Source organism: Homo sapiens, chromosome 5 (genome assembly GCF_000001405.40).
Source record: "Homo sapiens chromosome 5, GRCh38.p14 Primary Assembly".
Taxonomy (NCBI): domain Eukaryota; kingdom Metazoa; phylum Chordata; class Mammalia; order Primates; family Hominidae; genus Homo; species Homo sapiens.
The window spans coordinates 67,132,160-67,146,708 of record NC_000005.10 but is presented as its reverse complement, the minus strand read 5'-3'; the positions used below and the strand labels follow the sequence as shown (position 1 = coordinate 67,146,708).

The following is a 14,549-nucleotide window of genomic DNA, read 5'->3' as shown; positions in this document are numbered from 1 at the left end:
TTTCCCCCACAATAAACTATAAGCACATGTGAAGCTTCACAGATCCAAACTTCTTAGTGAGGTTGAAATAAATCCAGCCCATAAAATTTTTCCTGAAATGATTAAAAAAAAGCTTACACTATGAATATTCAGTTAGTTTAAAAAATGTTGACGAAAAATCTTGGAATCATTCATGGTTATCAATACAGCATATTGAACGTAGCTTAATGAAAACATTCATTACAGCAATTCTAAGCCATATACATCTCTCATTTTTTGAAAAAGCATAAATGCACATACTCTATAGAAGAATATGCTGTGCATAAAATTTTTATAAATCAAATGATATTTTAAATGAACTTAAGAGGCTTGTTTTGGTGCAATTAATTGCAAGTTTGAATATCTAGTGAGGATACCTCCATTACTAATGACCAGCAAGTATCCATGATATATTAAGCTCCTTAAAAATCTGTGAAGACACTGTTCCTCTTGTCAGGAAGGTTACATCACACAAAGGTAACTTTTAAAAAGTGCTTTCAAAGGCCCAAGCCCCCTTGGCTGCCTCCCAAAAATGCAAAGATGTCTCAGGAGTTTCCTACTCCAATTACCCAGAGTTTCTTACTCCAATTACCCAGAGATGGGGAAGGTAACTTTTGTCTTCAGTGGAGTTATTTCATATGCACGTAAACTATCAATTTAAATCATGCTGGTATTTCTGACTCCCCTTTCCCCTCCTTAGTCCCAGATGGACCAGAACAGCATTAAGCGTCTTGTTGCACTCAGTCTGCACTGAGTCTAGTGTGGAGAGAGAAATTACTTGGTACAACATAACCCTTTAACAAAAGCCAACTCCATCAAAGAAACAACCATCCATTTCAATGCTAGAGAGAAACCTGGCTTTATACTGTGCCTTAGGGTGATTCAAGACATCTTCAAGGGTAATTCTGACAAGCTGACTACTTGATACTGGCTCTTACACTGAACTTTTGAGTTAGATGCAACTGTATAAGACATACCTTTGCATCAACAACTGAGAACACGCTCCCTTAGCACGTTCTGACTTCCCTCAAAAGATCCCCTGCAACCTGGCTGAGAAAGTGAAGTTTGGCCCCAAGGTCAAACGGAAGCAATAACAGTTTGCTGCATGGCCGAGCACTGAGGAGGGGTCTGAGACATCTGATCTTAGCTCTCAGAAGATCGTGTCCCAAGCCTAAGGACTGAGGCCATGGAGAAAGTCTAGCAGCATAAAACACCCATCTTTACTGCCTGGCGAGGCCCGCCCTGGGACTGAGCACTAGGAGACACTTAGTGTGGTGAGGAGGACAGCAGGCACTATGGCCCGGGGCTTACCTGACAGGGTGGAGCTGCTGATGGTGCTGGCTGGGGTGGTGACCTCAGGCTCCTCCTGGGCACACTCTTCAGGAGGAAGGGCTGGCTTTCCTGGCTCCTCATGGGGGTCTCCAGGGCAGGAGGCAGCTTCATCTTGCTCTCCCTCTGTTGAAATAGCCAGTTTGGGAAGTAGGCCAGAACTGAGTTTATGTCTGTTGCTTTCAGTATCTGAAGAGTTGGATGTTGATAGCTGTTGCCTTAATTAAAAGCAAAAACAAAGTCATATATACATACTAGAAAACTGTGTTAAAGGTGAATTTTGGAAGAAACCAGGTGAAAATCGGACTTGGATAAGCCTAACCAAGAGATGTCTAGTGCAATGGTTCTTAATGTGTGGTACCCACAGCAGCAACATCTGCATAATCTAGATACTTGTCAGAAATGCACATTTTCAGGCCCTACCCTAGATCTACTGGATGAGAAACTCTGGAAGTGGGAGATCTGTGTTTTAACAAGCCCCCCAGGTATTCTGATGCTCACTAAAGTTTAAGAAACTCTGCTCTAGTAGCTACTGCTTATATTACTTAAGAGGCATTTCACATACATTTCAGAATATTCTGAACTCCAGCTCAGTGTTTCTGTGGATGGCAAGGTGGTGCTTTTGGTTTTGTCCACAGAGTCTTCCTTCTCTTCTGCTGAATTCTGAGTGATTCGATCTATACTGCTGAAAACCTGGAAGGCAAATAATTGGTGCTTATTAATATCTACTAAAAAGAGTTTGTCAGAAAAACACTCCAAGTCTTGGGAGAAAAACCTGAGAGGATAACTAAATTCTGAACTAATATTGTGTATTCAGAAAGTACTTTCCAGTGTTGTTAACCAGAATCCAGAGAGGAAGGGTCAGGGTGAGTGAGTGTGTGTGTGTGTGTGTGTGTGTGTGTGTACATATATACGAATAGGGAGCTATGAATTCATCATCCTCTCATCATATCTTGTTGCGGACTTTGTATCTGCAAACAAAATCCACAGATGCAGTGGAGTTTCTAGGCCTTGGGATCAATGCACATCTTGATTACTTTTTAACCATGAAGTCAACTGGAAAAAGAAAATAACAGAGAAACAGATTTAATGGCCACCAGTCAGGGGTGGGAAGAAGAAAAATGAATTGGAATTGAGTGCAAACAGAAGAATAAATTATCTGTTTCAAGACTGGGTGGTGGTGTGGCAAGGATGCAGTACATATTCCGTTATAAGAGCCAGAGGTATTTGTTTCGCTTACAAATCACATCTATAGACAGGCAGTTTCCTATGTTGGTGCCGGGGTTCCTGAAGGGGATCGGAGCTCAGGTAAGCCCAAGGTCTCAGCTATCTGTGAATCTCTGTTGTCTCATAAGAGAGAAGGTAAAATGGGGGTCTAAGAGCCTAGGGCAGGAAGCGCTCCCTACTGCCCTGCTCAGACACTTGCTGCTCTCATGGGAATGGTCCTCAGGCCTCCTATAATCTACTAGGAATAGCAGGAAAGTGGCTACAGAAAAGGAGATGGTGGGAAAATGAAATACCCACCAAGGCAAAGAAGGAAGCAGTGTTTAGGGGTTGGCATTGTTGTCTTTGATGGCCCAGAGAACAGTCCTGGTCTGAGTCCACACTTAGCAAAGCTTCTGTCCTGGCTCTAGGACAGACTGGCTACCACCTTCTCCAGGGAAATCCTTACCTCGATGCCATTCCCATACACAGGAGGGTAGTGCTGGCCAATTTGCAGGTGCATCTAGGTAATCATTTAGAAAAAGCTACGGAGCACTTTAAAATCACTAAATGTTATAGAAAAGCTAAACAATAATCATGCAAAATGCCATGGCAACAGAAAATATATAGCTACTGAAAATAGCAAAAGGGAGGTAGGGTGCCCTCAGGTTGATTTCCGTTTTTCCTAGGGCCTTGTTCTGTCTCAGTACTATCAGTTTTCTTTGTTTTGATTAATTGTTTTTTTTAACTTTTACTGTACTGGTAAAAAGGCATCTTTCTCAAGCATCAATTATCTAAATGATTCTAGCTTGGCTTCCTACTGCCTTTTCAATATGGCTTATAATTTCTGTTTATTGGTTACAAGACTTTTTTTTTTTTTTGGCTTTTTTTTTCCTTTTTGTGGAGAACGGGGTCTCACTATATTGCCCGGGCTGGTCTTGAACTGCTGGGCTTACGCTATCTTCTTGCCTCTGCCTCTCTAAGTGCTGAGATTAGAGGCGTGAGCCACTATGCCTGGCAGTTATGAGACTTTACAATCCTACAGTCAACTGTCCGCAGGTATCTTTGCTTATGTCAAGGACTGAGCCTTCTCCTTTTGTTGTACTCTGTGTAATCCCTCGGAGATGACTCTGTACACAGTGAAGCTCGCGCTCTTCATCCTGAGTTGAAAGCAATGAGTGATACCTCTGCAGCCTGGCATTGAGCCAGGTGAGAGACGTTCAAGGCAAGGTCATCATATAAGTAGCAGTCACACACTCCAAAAACAAGACTGTGGGTGCAAGGCTATGCCTCTAAGAAAACAATATCTTAATTTGTGGAGAGAGAAATATATTGGTGCCGGGGTTCCTGAAGGGGATCAGAGCTCAGGTAAGCCCAAGGTCTCAGCTATCTGAATCTCTGTTGTCTCACAGGAAAGAGAGAAGGTAAAATGGCAGTCTAAAGGCCTAGGGGATAGGGACAGACTATAAGTTGAGGAGGTCACTTTTCTTCAACAAAAGGAAGTTTAAGCATAGGAGACCTCAAACCCTGGAAAACGGTAAGTGTCCAGCTGTTCGGGGATACTATCTGGCCAGCGGGAGATCCTCCCAGAGAGACTCTGTATGTTTATGCCACATTTCACTTACTTTTGAAAACCTGTGTGAACATGAAGAAAACTGCCTTATTTCCACATTAAAGTCTTCATCATTTGTGTCATCTTCTTCCTCCGTTTCCATATGATGATACTTCTCAGACCGAGCTGCAGTGAAATGTTTGGGAACAGGTCCAATTACTCAGATTTTCAACATTTAGATATTTTAATTATGATTTTCTGGATCAACATTATGTTTAAGAACTCAGAGATATGAAAAGGTTCAAAAGCAAAGATAATTATTTATCGAGTAAAGGCCAAACAATGTTTTATGTCAGATAAAGCACATACTATCAAAATAACTTGTGTCATCCTCAGATTCCAGTTGGGGAATAAATTCTGCCTTCTGTCTCAGCAAACTGTTCCAGTCTAAAGAACGGAAGAATCGATGCTGTTTGACTTCATATGCACCACCTGGAAGGGGGCAGGTAGAGACAGAGAGGAAAGTGTTAAACTATCCCCACTAAGCAAAGGCAAACATCAGTTTTTAACAACAATTTTGAGAACATATCAGCAAAGAAATACAGACATGAAAATCATACTTTTTCATTCTACAACCAAAGCCCCACAAGTTTTTCTGATAATTTATCAGTAGGAGATTTGATGTTGCTAACAGCAGTTGCTATGGCACTGTTTTTCTTTGTTAGTTTTTTTCCATGACTTCCTCCATTTTTCAAAGGTTAATGATGTGGCCACTTAAAATCACAGTATGCTGAACCTGGAGATGTAGATAAATATTGGCCCACAGCAGACTCACTCATTAAAAACCCAGAGAAATTCTAACAAGGTGCAAAATGTGTTCACAGCAACATTTCCTCTGGAGGTAAAGTGAATATTGATAAATTTTTCCTAAATATTATTTATAGGGGTTACCATTCAATTTTAGTGGATTGCTCATTAACATAGATAAGAATTAGATTCTGTGGATTACAGATTTGTAAGTAGGAAACTGACAAATCTGTTTTATAGACTTTTAATGTCTCCAAAATATCCATCACCATTTCCAAGTTTCAGGCTTCTTTTTCCAAGTCAGCATGAAAGCATAATTCAGTGAAATGTTTTCAATTCAGTTTATAATTTTAAAGAGCGATTTTAAAGGACAGGTCATCAAAAATATGAACACCATACCCCATATAAAGAGAAAAAGGTACATGTTATAATATCATAGCGTAAGAATCAGATCCCCGCCCTGCCACCAGCACACATATTGTTGAAGAGAGAGATAACAAAGAATCAATCCTGAAAAAACTCTAAGAAGAGAGATTTCTGAGAAGCTACTACAGGGACTAATCAGCCTCCCTGCCAAAAGATCTCTGCTAGGTGCAAGTAAATGCCTCTTTCTTGTAGTTGTCACCCAGGCCTCTCATCCTGTCCTCTGTGGAGTCCAAAAAGAATAGGATGAGAAATGCCAAGCTGAATGCAAAATGGGCTGTGAATCTTGGTTGGGGGTTGCTGTCTGTGGATCAAAGATTGGACTCTGTCCTCATTGGACCCCTCTAGCACAAGACATAGTGTCAGCCCTAGCTCTAAACCCAGCCAGGGCAAATTGGTGTTCTGAAAATGATGGAATGGAGTGAAAACAGCAAAGTGAGGAAACTACCCAAAAAGGGGGGAAATGGATTCTTCTTTATAAAACACTTAATTAGAATCTTTACCCCATATTCTATCCAAGTGGTTTCCACATTTCTAGCAAAATACTGAAGTCTGACTGTAAGCATGAGCAGCTATGACTGAGGGCCAACTTGTGACAAGTATTGCACTAGATACTACAGGACAGATGTCTTGTTTCCTTTAATTAAATCATCAAATATAACCACATGAAGTGGGCATTACAACACCTTTTGTGGATGTGGAAATGAAGCATAAGCAATAAAGCACCGTGGACCACGATCCCCCAGAGGGTAAAGATTCAAGGCTGAACCTAGGCCTGCCTAAAAACACCCAAGCCCAACCTCAGTGCCACATATAAGGCAGAGGCATGCTTTAATTTGTTCCTACTCCACCACCTCTCTTGCATCGCTTTGCAAACAGATTCAGAACTGCCAATACTGGGGACCTGAGCCTAAGAGCCAACTCACGTGGCTGTTCTATAGCACCTCTGGAGAGCCTCACTCCAGCCCACCATGCATCCTTGCTCTCACCTATCCCTAATCAATGTCCGTATGCACAACTGCCCATCTTATTTTCTTCTAGTGCTCTTTTACTTGGAGAAACAGAATACGAAAGCTAAGAGGGCTTAACTGTTTCCCTATCCAACATGGAGGTCGTCAGCACGGTGCGGGTGTTGGGTAGGGAAAGCCCTAGTTAGTGGCCCACAACACACATCTCTGGACTCCTAGTGCAGTGATGGTTCCACTAGACTACAATGACTATCACTTCAGCTGCTGCTCATGGGGCCACATCAATGGCCCAGCCCTCACATTTTGGGTTGCTCGATTTTATCAGAAAAGCAGTTTCTCTAGGGCCAAGAGCTCAACCAGACTGCAGCCAGTGTCAGGGGTTTTACCCCCTGCCTGCTATCCTCTGGGACCCAAGCTGCTGAGAGCCTTCATTTCATCTCTGCAGACAATGACAAATGGGTCCTCCTCAAGGATTTACAGCCCATAGCTGATTTAGCTCACATTTCTCACCCTTTGGCCTTTGTGCCTCACTTACGAGAAGCTGGTATCAGTGGGTCCAGTTTCTCAGGCACTTATGGAGAGATAAGGAAGAAAAGAAAGGGACAAATTGGGGGAAAATGACCTCTGGACTAAACTTTTGGTAAAATACGGGTGATAGCATCGTGAGCTAAAAATAAATCACTCATGCAAATGATAGTTCTCATTGTAAGAATTCATTATGAAGGTAAAAGAAACATTATACCTTGAGCTCCTGTTAGATACTTAGTAAATGAACTAGATACCTTAATGAACATTTTTGCATTTACTCCTCACAATAATCCTGTGAAGTATATAAAATGCCCATTTCCATAGACTAGGAAACTGAGACTCAGGACAATGAAGAAACTATTCAAGATATGGGTAGCAGTGACATCTGAGCAGCTCTGAAGTCCAGGGAGTCAGGCTGCCACTCAATATTCTACAAGTTCAAAAGTGTAGTTCCAGTAGCACAAGCTCCCAAATTGCAAGTTATGCTTTGACACTAACACTTTCCCTTTTCTCTCCTTTCATGGAAGTTTCTTAAACATCCATTATGTTCTTCACACCCTTTTTCTCAGCCTCTCTAATCTCTTGGGCAAATGTGCATTCGCACATTTTCACGGTGCATTATTTTGCCCACTAAATATGCATTAAATACAAAACGCTGTCATTGGAAGCAGCACGGCAGGCCTGCGGGATTCTCAGCCTCAGTCTCTGGGCCCTACTGGGACCTGTCATGTTGGACTGGCCTGTTTGGCAAGCACTTGACAATTCTAAGAGCTTGGGTAGGGTCTTTTAAATGTCTCTTCTGGATTTCTGTTAGGGGATTTGTTCTTCAAACTGTCAAACCCTAAAAAGACTGAAAGTAGCAATCAACAAGAAAATGTGCAGAGAAGTAACTTGCAGCCTATGATTTATAAACACAGAGATGCTGATCATTATCACATCCTTGTCTAGTTAAATCAAGCCCAACCAAGGATCCAAGTTTTCCTGGAGGAGTAAATACAGGACAGAATACAGGCTGAACATCCTTAGTCTGAACATTTAAAATCCGAAATGCTCCAAAATCTGAAATTTTTTGAGCACTGATATGACACCACAAGTGGAAAATTCCACACCTGACCTCAGGTAACAGGGATTAAAACATATATGATGGGGCCAGGCACAATGGCTCATGTCTGTAATCCCAGCACTTTGGGAGGCCGAGGTGGGTGGATCACTTGAGGCCAGGAGTTCAAGACCAGCCTGGCCAACATGGCAAAATCCCATCTCTACTAAAAATACAAAAAGTAGCCAGGCGTGGTGGCATGCTCTTGTGGCCCCAGCTACTCGGGAGGCTGAGGCATGAGAATCGCTTGAACCTGGGAGGCGGAGGTTGCAATGGACCAAGATCGCACCACTGCACTCCAGCCTGGGTGACAGAGTGAGATGCCATCTCTAAACAAACAAACAAACCACCCCACCCACCCACCAACCAAAAACCAAACAAAAAACACATATTATGGGCTTATTGAAGGACTAGGGCAGTACGCATTCATAACAGAATAAAAAATCATGTCAGTTTATGAACTTAGAAAATAATTCTAAGATAAAACTTGTTAATGAGGCAGATGACTCTGGAGGAAATGTTTTAAAAAGCCATCCAGCAGAATGCCTCCTCTTCCCTAGAATGATTTGTTTTTATCCTTATAATAATCCTATGAGGTAGCACTTCGGAAAGCTCCTTTTCACAAATGAGGAGATGAGCAATGCAAAAAGAAGTAACCTGTCCAGGGTCATACAGCCGAGATTTAAACTCAGCCTAGCTGACTGTGGAGTTTATGCTCTCAACCTCAATTTATATTGGCTTTTCAGGTTAAAAGTCCACTCAACCACTGAAAAAGGTAAAAAAGACACAAGGTGCTCTAGTGAGAGGCTCAACTAAAAGAAGTTGTCTAGTCAAGCCCTAATATTAAGCCTTCTTGGATTCTCTAATGCAGGGTCTGGAAAGCTTTTGTGTAAAGGGCAAAACAGTAAACATTTCAGTCTTTGCAGGGCATGCGGTCTGTCATGACTACCTAACTCTGCCCTTGTAGCATGAAAGCAGCCATACAATACCTAAATGAGTGGACATGGAGGTGTTTCAGTAACGCTTTATTTACCATACCAGGCTGTGGGACAAATCTGGCCATAGCTTGCTGACCCTTGCTGTAATGCATTATCATAAACTCTAGTAGCACAGCATTCGTCTATACTTAGGTAAGAACAGGTCCTCCAACAGGAGAATCGGTGGGTGAATGTGGAGAATACTATACAATAAATATTTGGAACTGTTTCAAATTTTTGTCTTGGAAAAAAATGGGGGAGAAAATGATTTCTTCAGTATTTTCTGTTATTTCTATTAAAATGGGGGTAGAATGAAACAGCCCAGAGTAAACAACCCATCAAGCCAGCACTTTTCACTGATGAAAATTATGGCTGCTGGCTAGACTATATGCATTTATATTTAATATTTAGTCTCATCTACATAAATTCACATACTTGGGCAGACTGGGACTCTATACTGGGATTGCTAAGTCTGTCTATTCAGAATACAGAGAAGAAAAGGGAATAAAATACTGGCAGAACAGTCAGAAAAAATAATCAGCAAGAAACAAATCTACTATCTCGTTAATCCTGAAAGACAGTGGTTTTTAATTCTCTTTCTTGGGTCACGGTGCTGATCACTGTGACAGGACAGCATGGTTCAACCCCAGACACTCATTTCTAGTAATTAGTCCAAGTACTGATAACCCATTTCAAAGCTTGTGTATAGTAACGTGCTGGGTCAAATCCGTATGGGGATGTATATTTAAAGACAAAAACAAAAAGAGTTCCAAATATCGAATCCTCTGTTTCAAGTTATTTAAGATGCATGCTTTTCGGGATAGAAGAGTTACATGTGCCTTTGAGGTTTTCTTCCAGAGAAGCTTTATTTATTGAAACAAATTAAGCATAATTTCTGCTTTGCCAAACACAAAAACAACAAAAAACAAAGACAAACAACCAACCCTCTTAGCGTACACACTGTTTTGAATCAGAAAACAAAATCCAAAATATTATTGCTATAATGTGTTGCAGTCATGTTCTACATCAACTAACAGATGTTGCCTATGCAAAAAGCAAAACAACAACAAAAGCTTCAGAGTGCTCCATGTAGACATTATTTCTTGCATATTAGCAAAATTAAAACACATGGGCTCTAACCTGTTCCCAGCCTCTCCAGGGGATTCTGCCTGAGGAGTAAGGTAATCAGATCCTGGGCATCAGGTGGGGGTGCCTCATCCTTCTCAGGCCAGTTGATCTCATCTAGAAGGAAGAAAAGTTGTTTATAACCATATTGTTCACAAGAGGGTCCAGGTCCCAGCAACATGGACATCACCTGGGAATTTGTCAGAAAGGCAGAATTTCAGGCCCACTCCGGACCTACTAAATCAGAGTCTGCCTTTCAACAAGATCTTCAGTCGATTCCTAAACACAGTCATGTTTGAGAAGCATTATTTTACAAGACATAAGTAGCATAGATTTTTTACAAGGTAGGAAGAGAATATTTCAATAAGCAGATCTTTAATTTGCTTTTTAAATGTATTTTTCTTTCAAAGAATTGGCTTCCAAAAAGTTGCCTCTCTAGTTATTAAAAGACTTAAAATAATAGAAACTCTAAACACTTCCATTTCAGGTGGCTAATATATCCATCCAGGGATTATCTCAGGTTCAGATTTTTCTCTCTTAATTTCCTCAACTGAGAATTTGGCCACAGCCATAGAGTTCTTCAGCTCTAAGAAGCAAGAAGTAATTTTGTAAAAATAACTATTTCCAGAAACAAACAAACAAACAAACAAACAAACAGGTCAAAGTGCTAAGACTGAAGAAGAAAAAAAAACCCAAAGTAATCATAGTAATGGAAGTATTTAAAATCTGTCATAAATATTAAGAATACTTTCTCATTCTGAAGGAGTTTGCCTGAAGATAGGTGTGCGTGCTTGTGTGTACGGAAATGCAATAAAAACATGAGTTATTTCTGTGTGTGCCTGCCTCTAGCTTCCTCTGCTGCAGTTTAAATCTGATTTGGAAAATAAAACATGAATATGCATCTGAGCCGTAAGGCATCAAGAACAAAGCCAGCATTTGCTGCTTGTGTTAATTAAACAGTTGATTCCCTTTGCCATTCAGGCCTTAGTATATCAGAAAACAGCCTAGTTATAAATCCATAAACAGCTCAGATATTGTATAAAGGGGTCATACACTGCAGGCAACTCACAAATCTGCTTTGTTAAAGTTTACAAATATGCAAGGCTTGCAAAATCAAAGATAGAAAAGAATGCCGTGATAAAGGGGCCCCTCATATGCAAAATGAATTTTTCCCCTACTTCCACTGCTGGACCTTGTAAACACAGTCCAAATAGACCGTACGTGGCTGATAAAGATGTCAGTGATGCCTGACAAACTTTCAAGATGAGAGGCCTTTCTGATGTATGTTCCAGGGAAATTTATAAAATCGGCAGGTAGGGTAGTGATACACCCTATTTAATTATCATTTAGTTTTGCCACAGGCCACATACAATAGTTAGGGTCAGCTTGCAGGTTAAGATCTAAAAGTTATTGAATTTTAAATGAAAGATGAACAGCTGTTACAGAAATAACATTACGCCATAACAACTACCAATGAAATCATTAACAATCTGTGGATTCAACTTGCTTCTTTCCCATTCTCATTATTTATTATTTGGTAGACATTTGTTTTAGGGTTTATTACATTTTTGTTAACTTCTTCATTATGCCATTAGCCATTTTCCCTATTTATGTAAATGTTACCCACATTAACCTTTTCTTCCCTGGTGTAACTTTCCTATCATGGAAAGGAAGACTGGACGGCAATTAAATTGCCTGTAAATCCCACACCAATTTCCTTTGCAGAAAAAGCACACTATAAAAAATGGTTTTGTTGCTAGTACATTTCCAAATTCTATGTTAACAACATTTCTTCAGATCAATTTTCAACAAAAATTGCTCTCTTGAGATTAAGAATGTCAGTTATATGCTTTGATGAGTGAGTTCTTTTGTTGGCTCAACTGTTTGATAAAGGTTAACATTTTAGTAGTAAAAACTGTGACACTCAACAGATTTACATTAAATAGCTGCTTCCCAACAGTGACCTAAAGATAACTCCTGATGATATTTACCACTGATGACTTGTCCAAATAGCTCCTCTGGAGTATCCCCAAAGAATGGCACGCATCCAACCAGAAATTCATAGAGGATAATCCCCATGGCCCACCAGTCCACCGGCTTTCCATAACCCTGCCTCAGAATCACTTCTGGTGCAATGTATTCAGGTGTGCCACAGACCTAAAAGATAATTGCAATATTAGAATAATTGGAATATTAGACATGAATTAAAATGAGCAAGATGGCTAGTCACCAATTATTTTGCCCAGAATGCACCTGCTCAACCACATGGAACCACATGGACAAAGAACTTAAGAGCACCAATTATAAAAAGATATTTAAAATACCAACGAAAAGAATTATTACCAAAGACGGGAAGTTTACAGTTCTGCTCTAATGTTAAATTATATGTAATGTTTACTTTCAAATTGAGAATCTGACCCTGTTTGGTAGTTTTACCTATTATACAATATTAAAACCACTTATAATCCTTAAATTTAAAATAATAATGCATTTTTAAGTTTGTCATTGTCAGAGAGAGTTTTAGTATCTATATGACCAAAATATATTCACACACAGGTCATTTCATAAAAGCAATGACAGTTGAGATGTGTTTACCTTAAGTAACTTTACAATGAACAGATTGTGGGGACATGGTAATGAGGCATGCTTAAAGGGAAATGGGCCGTGGCTTGGATTTAGCACCCGTGATGGTACAATGCATCATGAGTTTCACAAGTACTCTACTGAGACTCCTGAATTCCTTACAAAAACAGTATTCCATTTGTCTCTCTCACACTCTCACTTGTGTGCAATTAGATCATTCGTCTTGCTAATAGACCATAATGTTGGGGGAGGAATGTAGAGGGAGCAGACAATTCAAAGAGGCCCAGGGAGAAAAATGGGAGCAATTTGCACTTTATTAAATGTAAGGTTTATACAGACATCTAAACCACCAGCACTAATGTGAAGATGGCCCACACAAGTTGATTCTGAACTTCACTGGCAATACCATACTTTGTATTTCTCAATAAACTAAATGGCACCCAAGCTTACCTGTTTATCCAGGAACTCTCTAGCATCCTTCTCAATATGACCCTCGTAAAGGTTGGTAGTCATGCTCATTAGTCCCACCTTAGATAATCCAAAATCTGTCAGCTTTATGTGCCCCATGGAGGTAACCAACAAGCTATGAGGCAGACGGACATGTAACACAATAATCACTTTATAAGCTGGTTATCTATTTTCATTTCCTCCCTTCCCCCCTCAGTTTCTAAGACTATTTAATATATGGGCATCAAGCTTATTACAAAACCCAGCCTGGAAAGAGATGGAGTCACATAAAGATGTCAAATACTTCCATCTAGCAGCTGAGTGTAATTCACAAGGGAGGGCTAGAGACAAGGTGTAGCTAATCTTTGTTGGAGCAGCCACATACAATATCATTTATAACACTTTGAAACTCTTAGAAAAATTCAAGTATGAAACTCTGATCCCTTTCCATTTTCACAATAAGAAAATAAAAAAAAAAGGGCATACACCAGGAACTAAGCAACCCATTTGTGATTCAAATGAGGCATAAAATAAAGAAAAACAGAAAAATATTGTATTGTTTCAGATTTCAACTCCCATCTCTAATTTAAATTTCTACTCATTAAGCACAAAACCTATATTTCTTACCCATGCAAAGAATCTGCAATTAAATATATTTAAAACTTTTCATTTTAAGTGGGAAAATAAAAAGTTTAAATAGTATATACGGTATTACAGTAATTTAAAAATTAAAAGAATAGAGGTATTTTTTAAAAAGCTACTGGATGGAAATATCCCAAAATTTTAATAGTTGTCTTTGGTAATACTGCAGATGAATTTTTTTCTCTCTTTTTTCCCCTGCATTTTTCAAATTTTGTAGAATGAGCATGAGTCAATTTTATCATAAACTTTTCAGCATACTTAAAGTCTTTATATATTAATATGTAATGCTTTTAGAGGCTTCTCAAATTAGTGGAGAAAGCATGAAATATTTAATAAATGATGTCAAGATGAATAGCTAGTCATCTGGGGAAAAAAGTCTATCTGTATCTCAAATCAGACACCAAAATCAATTCCACATAAATTAAAAATTACTAAAAAATTAAACTGTGAGTAACATAGAATGTAACATCAAGCACTTCATCTTGGAGTAGGAAAAGGTAATCTAAGTATGACACCAAATAAAGAAACTACCCAGAAAACAACTAGCAGCATTCTATGAAGCTATTGTCACATTTGCACCATTTGAAAAAAAAACTTAAAAAAATTAACTCTGGCTTTATCATTATCTTTTTCTCTTGTTGCTGATAAGTTATTAATATAAGCATCATTGGGGGTGGGGAACTAGGGAAGGGATAACATTAGGATAAATACCTAATGTAGATGACGGATTGATGGGTGCAGCATACACCACCATGGCATGTGTATACCTATGTAACAAACCTGCACGTTCTGCACATGTATCCCAGAACTTAAAGTATAATAAAATATATATATACATATGCATTGTA

General features: G+C 39.5%; 1 protein-coding gene across 28 annotated transcripts in view, besides 2 other annotated features; it reads right to left on the bottom strand.

Moving 5' to 3' along the window:
- MAST4 (microtubule associated serine/threonine kinase family member 4) overlaps positions 1-14,549 on the bottom strand; it is a 573,201-nt gene that overhangs the window by 22,885 nt on the left and 535,767 nt on the right. For all 28 annotated transcript variants that reach the window (XM_024446044.2, XM_047417157.1, XM_047417158.1 and 25 more), the window contains 7 exons: positions 13,063-13,195; positions 12,021-12,186; positions 10,045-10,146; positions 4,472-4,594; positions 4,176-4,288; positions 1,913-2,040; positions 1,330-1,565 (listed from right to left, as the gene is read on the bottom strand). In XM_024446044.2, coding sequence (XP_024301812.1) covers positions 1,330-1,565; positions 1,913-2,040; positions 4,176-4,288; positions 4,472-4,594; positions 10,045-10,146; positions 12,021-12,186; positions 13,063-13,195 — 1,001 coding nt within the window. The remainder of the gene's footprint in view (positions 1-1,329; positions 1,566-1,912; positions 2,041-4,175; positions 4,289-4,471; positions 4,595-10,044; positions 10,147-12,020; positions 12,187-13,062; positions 13,196-14,549) is intronic.
- Positions 2,194-2,488: an enhancer, noted in NCBI's record as "tiled region #2367; HepG2 Activating DNase matched - State 5:Enh". NCBI's record gives its function as "activates a minimal TATA promoter and a strong SV40 promoter by Sharpr-MPRA in HepG2 cells {active_cell/tissue: HepG2}" and the evidence as "EXISTENCE:reporter gene assay evidence [ECO:0000049][PMID:27701403]".
- Positions 2,194-2,488: a silencer, noted in NCBI's record as "tiled region #2367; K562 Repressive non-DNase unmatched - State 16:ElonW". NCBI's record gives its function as "represses a minimal TATA promoter and a strong SV40 promoter by Sharpr-MPRA in K562 cells {active_cell/tissue: K562}" and the evidence as "EXISTENCE:reporter gene assay evidence [ECO:0000049][PMID:27701403]".